At 38.3% G+C, this 6720-nt stretch overlaps 1 non-coding gene and 1 pseudogene across 1 annotated transcript, besides 1 other annotated feature; both read left to right on the forward strand.

Moving 5' to 3' along the window:
* On the forward strand, positions 8-2359 carry IQCB2P (IQ motif containing B2 pseudogene; annotated as a pseudogene).
* Positions 4444-5643: an enhancer, noted in NCBI's record as "BRD4-independent group 4 enhancer chr6:27982765-27983964 (GRCh37/hg19 assembly coordinates)". NCBI's record gives its function as "activates an origin of replication core promoter dependent on BRD2, P300/CBP, MED14 and CDK7 cofactors, and independent of BRD4, by STARR-seq in HCT116 cells {active_cell/tissue: HCT116}" and the evidence as "EXISTENCE:reporter gene assay evidence [ECO:0000049][PMID:35650434]".
* On the forward strand, positions 5025-5234 carry LOC124901506 (small nucleolar RNA U3). The gene has a single exon (XR_007059937.1). It is a non-coding gene; the product is annotated as a small nucleolar RNA U3 (small nucleolar RNA).

Below are 6720 nucleotides of genomic sequence, written 5' to 3' on the forward strand. Positions count from 1 at the left end.
TGATGTGGCATGCTGCCCCGGGAAGACTGTGGCGCTGTGGTGTGGCATGGGAGCCAGGTTCTTTAGTGGAAGAATGTGAAGTGAGGATGAATGATCCATGGAGGCAGTAAAAGGTGCCGCGAGGGAGACATGATTCCCAAAGCACCGAGCTGGTGGCCCAGCAACAGGTAATACGAGAAATGAAGCCAACAGGTGCAGACCCAAGGATCTTATCTCTAGCTGCTGAAGTTGCAAAAAGCCCTGAGTGGAATGTCCCTGTTATACTGTTGAAGTTAAAAGCCATTGCTGTGCAGGCTTGGAGCCAGGAGAAGATGCAGAGGAACTTTCCAATGAATTACTTCCATCAGCTGCAGAAAATTTTCTAGTTTTGGGGAGATAATGGCAAACATGTTTTATCAATGCAGCTAAGGCTGAAGAAAAAGATGAGTTACTAAAAATTGTGACTGATTGGCTCTTCTGGCTTTTGGGAGGCCATGTTGAACTTATTCAGAATGTACTACAAAGTGATCATTTCTTACACTTACTGCAAGTTGACAATGTCCAAATAGGATCAGCACTCATGATGATGCTACAGAATATACTATAGAGCAACAGTGGTGATTTACTCAGAACAGGAGGAAAAGCCGTGCATTCAATTTTAGATGAAGTTATTTTCAAGCTTTTTTCAACTCCTAGTCCAGTCATAAGAAGTACTGCTGCAAAACTCCTACTGTTGATGGCTGAATCCTATCAGGAAATTTTGATTTTACTGAGACAAAGTGCCTGCTACAAAGGACTCAGAAGTCTACTAAGTAAACAGGAAACTGGGACAGAATTCAGTCAAGAACTTAGACAGCTCATTGGCCTTTTAAGCCCAACGGTCTATCAGGAAGTAGAAAAGCAGAAACTACATCAAGCAGCATGCTTGATTCAAGCCTATTGGAAGGGTTTTCAGACAAGAAAGAGATTAAAGAAGCTTCCATCTGCTGTGATTGCTTTGCAGAGGAGTTTCAGATCTAAACGAGCAAAGATGTTGCTGGAGATAAATAGGAAGAAGGAAGAAGAGGACCTCAGATTGTGATTGCAACTTCAAAGACAGAGAGCCATGAGACTTTCCCAAGAATTGTGGCTGAGTATGCTCAAAGTAGTTCATCCAGGTCAAGTGGAGAAACACAATTGGGAAATGGAAGAGAAATCAGCACTGATTATCCAGAAACATTGGAGAGGGTACAGGGAAAGGAAAAATTTTTGCCAACAGAGGCAGTCTCTCACAGAATATAAAGCAGCTGTCATACTTCAAAGAGCAGTGTTTAAATTCCTAGCAAAGTGCCGTAAGAAACAGAAACTATTTGTTCCTTGGTGAGGACTCCAAGAACTCACTGATGCATGCCGAGCTGAACTGAAGCAACAAGCGGATGACTATGTCAGAAGACATTCGGGCTCTCCAATGTCAGATGTGGTCAGTAGCGAGCCCCATGCCCGAGCTTAAGAACGACTGCAACACTACTTTATGGGCAGGGCCCTGGAAGAGTGAGCCCAGCAACACAGAGAAGCTCTGATGGTACAGATCAGCACTAACGTTGAACAGCTAATGAAGGCACCAAGTCTGAAGGAAGCAGAAGGGAAAGAACCTGAGCTCTTCCTAAGATCCAGGCCTGTGGCAGCCAAGGCCAAGCAGGCCCATCTCACCACCCTGAAGCATATACAACCCACGCCGGTTGAAGAAGCTTGGGGAAGAATCTGGAGATGAGATTGATGTTCCAAAGGATGAGCTTAGTGTGGAATTAGAAACTTTATTCATTGGTGTAACCAAACCACCTAGTGAGTTACCCTAAGAATTGACACAAATCTCATATTTTAGGAGATTATATTGGTTCTGCCTCTGGCATGCTGGTAGACTAGGGCCATCTCAACTTATTGTTTTCCAGAGGTTCTCCTCCAGACAAGATTTGCAGTAAGCAAAGAGTTATACTCTACCTGTCTCTAAATTTTCTTTTTCTTTTCTCTGTATCCTTGTCATTGGCCACACACACACAGATTTGTGTGGCTTTTATTGTAGAACTAAACTTAGCATAGTGTTCTGTTGTTTACATGAAGTGTGAGTTTTCTTTTGTTTCTGCTGTTTTCCAACTAAAGATTTTTTTCTAAGTAAATATTTTCAACAATTGATTTGAAAAAATTTGTCAGGATTATTTCAGCTTTTCACATTTATTATCTGAAATTCCTATTTCCTATTAATGTAGGAGGTGGATGCAGACTTTATTAATATGAGGAAAAGAAATGCTCAGTTGAAGGACATTTCCCTATTTTCTATAAAACAATGGTTAAATTCATTTTCTATTTTGTTATTTCTAAAAGGAACTACATATAAAAATGCATTCTTTCTATTAAACTATGAGGACTATATAAAAAAAGTTATTGATGTGATAGAACTCTGTATCTTGTGGAATTTATCTCCCACATGTTACAGTACATATGTTCTAAAGGGCATCTAGAATAGTTGCCACTTCCTGTGCATGAGGCCAATTAATATAATGTCATCAATATAGTGACAGGATGTGTTCTTCAGGATTTCCAGATGATCAAATTCTCGTCAAACTCTACTATTGCTTAAGACCAAAAAGTTAACATAGCCCTAAAACAAATTGTAAATGTATACTGTTGTTTATACCAAGTGAACCCAAACTGCTTCTGATTGTTCTTTTTGATGGGGGTTTAAGAAGTATTCTTTTCAATAAGATCAATAAGTGCATAGTAAGTACAGGAGTTTGTGTGGATCTGTTTTATTAAAAATAGTATCACACATCAGTGGCAATGATGCTACTATTTGGCGAAGTTTGCAGTAATCCATTATCTCCCATCACAATCCATCTAATTTTTGTAGGAGACAGATTGTTGAATGAAATGGGAATACGATGAGAATAACTATCCCCCTACCTAAAAATCTTTAAGGGTAACAGTCATCTGCCATTTCACCTGTGATGTTGTATTGATTCTGATGTACTATCTTGGCTAGACATTAGGGGCAGTTTAATCGGCTTCCTTTTAGCCTTTTATACCACAATGTCCCGTAGTCAACAGGTCAAGAACCAATGTGAAAGTTTTACCAGCTACTAAGTAAATTCATCCCAGTATACTCACCGGGGCTGGGAAAATGATCACTGGGTGCATCCGTGGACACACTGAACTCTATGATAAGCATAATGGTTTCCAAAGATGTGCCCCCAAAGATGTCACTAGAACCTGTGAATATGGTTTCTTTTATGACAAAGGGGACTTTGCAGATGTGACTAGGGATATAGAGTCTGAGATGAGGAAAATGTCTTAATTGTCCAAATGGGCTTATCTAAGATAATCACATGAGTTCTTGAAGGTCAAGAATCTTTCCCAGTTGTGGTCAGAGAGAGACGCAATGACAGAAGAAAAGTCAGAAAGATGTATCTCGAGAAAGAAGGAGCCAGACGTTGTTAGCTTTGAAGATGGAGAGGGGGCAATAAGCCAAAGAATGCAGACAGCCTCCAGAAGATGGAAAAGGCAAGGAAACAAAACCTTCACTAGAGTATCCAGAAGGGAATGCAGCCTCCAACACCTAGATTTCAGCTCAGTGAAATCCATGTTAGACTTTTGGCCTACAGAACTCTAATAAATTTGTAGAGTTTTAATTCACTAAGTTTGAGATAATTTGTTATAGCTGCAATATAAATCTAATATAGTCCCCCTTTGGGGATGGACTTACCCCAGAACTTCATTTATCAATTGTCCTAGTGGCTTCACTCTAATAGGGGGTCCACGATGTCATTTTGTGTCTCCTGGCATCAATGCTATCTTGACCCCCATATCCAAAAATCCTGGAAAATATGAGAATTCCTCTTTCCCCAATATGTAGTTATTCTGGTAAATTACTACAGTGCCAAGTACGGAAGAACTGGGAAAATTGCTACCAAAGACCAAACAAAGTCTCGATTCATATGAATGCTGTGGTATTATAGGTCCTTCTTCAGTGGGAACTGGTCTTTCTTTCATTCCATGGTCTCTTATTCTAGATCCTCGCTCATATCTGGAAACTGGGAAAAGGATTTTGATTTAACTAGATGGAGTCCAATTGCTACAGATCCCTACGGGTTATAGACCTTTGGAGAAATGGCTGATCCAGAGGTGGGAAAAGGGAAGTATAAGTTTGCCCTGAAATATCTTGTACTAAAAAGTAAGGAAGTGTTCAAAGAATGACTGGGACATGTGAAAAGGACAAAGAGCCATGGTTATGTAAAATGTTGACATTAGAAAAGCTGGGTAAAGAGTATATGAGAAGTCTCTGTTCTATATTGCATCTCTTCTGTGAATATAAAATTTTTCCAAATGAAATGTTTCTTTAAAGTGGACATAAAAGCCAGGTTAAAGGAATTCCCACTGTACAAATTTGGGAAAGTTGAGCATCAAAATAAATCATGATATTAATATACTATAACCCGTATATATTCAGAAAGAAGGAAGGAAGGAAGGAAGGAAGGAAGACTGATTTTTCCTTGGAGTAGAATGCCAATTAATAACTATAGAAAGAACGATAGGATTAGAAAATCATAATTAATTCAGCCAAGAAACATCAATGGGCTGCCACACTAAAACAAGTGTGGCAAGTTTAATGAGGAATGGGATACTTACATCTCATAGCCCTATAAAATACTTATTAATTACAATGAGAAAGAAGAATACTTTTCAGTGGAAAAACCTTAACCAAGTGATCAAAGTTCACATCATTTGTAATGGGCCAAACTGACATGTGTCTTCCCCATACAATGCAAAGAGGACACAGGCTTATTTCTGTGACATTTCTGCCAAAGATGTGTAACCTCTATCTAATCATAAGGAAATATTGAATAATTTCAAATTGAGAAATTCGGATCATTTTATAAAATAACTACCATGTACCCTTCAAAATATCAAAGTCATGGAAGTCAAGCAAAGACTGAGGAACTTTTCCACATTGAAGAAAACTAAAACACATGAGATCTTAGATTGGATCCTTTTGCTAAAAGAAACATTACTGGAAGACTATACTTTCAGGGATCATTTCTACATTTCCGGGTAATTTCTTTGAACATGTGGAGCACCGGAAACCACCAGGAGGAGGCACAGCATTTTCTCTGGAGCGTGAAGCCAGTTCTTGGTGTTGCTGCATAGCAACTGCCATTTGCCTTTGATGATCATTCTTCTTTTCCTTTAGGAGAATAAGAGGGGGAGAACCCAGTCTGAGGGATTCCTGTTTAAAACAAACAAACAAACAACAACAACAACAACAAAAATTATTGGGACAAGTGTTAAAACTTGAATGGAGGCCGGGCACAGTGGCTTACGCCTATAATCCCAACACTTTGGGAGGCAGAGGCGGAAGAATCACTTAAGCCCAGGAGTTCAAGACTAACCTGGGCAACATAGTGAAACCTCGTCTCAATAAAAAACAAAAATAAGTAAAATTAAACTAAGATTAATAAAAATTTTTAAAAACCTTGAATGGACTGTGTAATCTAGATGATAGTAATATGTAAATGTAAGTTTCATTATTTTAACGGTTGTATGGTTAAGTAGGATAATCTTTTTGTTTGTAGGAAATACACTAAGGTATTTGGGTGTGATAGAGCAAACTGCTCCTAAATGATTCAGGGAAAATAAAATTATCTGTACTACTCTTACAACTCTTCTGTAAGTTTGAAATCATCATAGAATTTAAAAAACAAAAAACCTTCTGGTACCTAAACCAAAATGAAATCTTTTGGAATGGTTTCAGGACTGGCTAAATCTCCTCAGCCTCAAAGATGAGCTAATGGAGATAAGCATCTTACCTGAAATGAAACAAGTCTGCCCCCATCCCTGCAGGTGTACTCAAAGTCTAAGGGAAATGCAGATGTTAGAAGTTTTCTTAGACATGTCCCACTGGTCTTCCTTTCTGGACAGAAAAGCAAATTTGTCTAATTGCTTCAATGGAGCATATATTCCCGAAAGCTTCAGTGAAGAGAATAAAACATTTTTAGCTCTCCAATCTGAGATGTTTTGTGAAATGTTAAAGTATAAATTGTCCTTATTACTTCAGAATAGTTCTTTAGGAGTCTGAGATCAGATTCTCAGACTCCTACTGTGGGGTATGCCGAAGACTATCAAGAACTTCAGGATGACTTCACAAATGGAAAATGTACCAATTTAACAGGAATCCTGCCACTGTGTTTCAGCTTAACACAAGTTGAGGGTCACAGTGTCCTGAAGTCAGGATTGTGGTAGTGAATTACACATTTGTTTGGTGAATGGTCTCTCTCTTTCAGACTGGCCTCCCTGTAGGAATTATTTATGCAAGTTCAGAAGCAAGTTACAAGGTGAAGTCACAAAAGGGCAAATATTCTCAAGAACAGAGACCACTGACCAGCTCCTAATACTAAAACTAATCTTCAGAAGTAAGAAAAGAAGACTAAGAGATGAAGAAATAGAACGGAAGTAAGTCCTGACACTATTTCCTCATGGATACTTTAAGAAAAGGCAAGTACAATTTTAATTATTTAACTTTTTCTGTATTTTCTAACAATAAATTGTTTTTATTATCTATTAACCATAAAAATACGATTGACAGTTATACTTAATATAAGGGCTATATTTTCTTTGAAGTATTCCTTTGAAGATACTTCGTTTGAAATATCTAGGAAAAAAGAGGGGAATAAAGACAATTACATAAGAAAGGAAATACTAGACTGAAACATA

Source organism: Homo sapiens, chromosome 6, assembly GCF_000001405.40.
Source record: "Homo sapiens chromosome 6, GRCh38.p14 Primary Assembly".
Taxonomy (NCBI): Eukaryota; Metazoa; Chordata; class Mammalia; order Primates; family Hominidae; genus Homo; species Homo sapiens.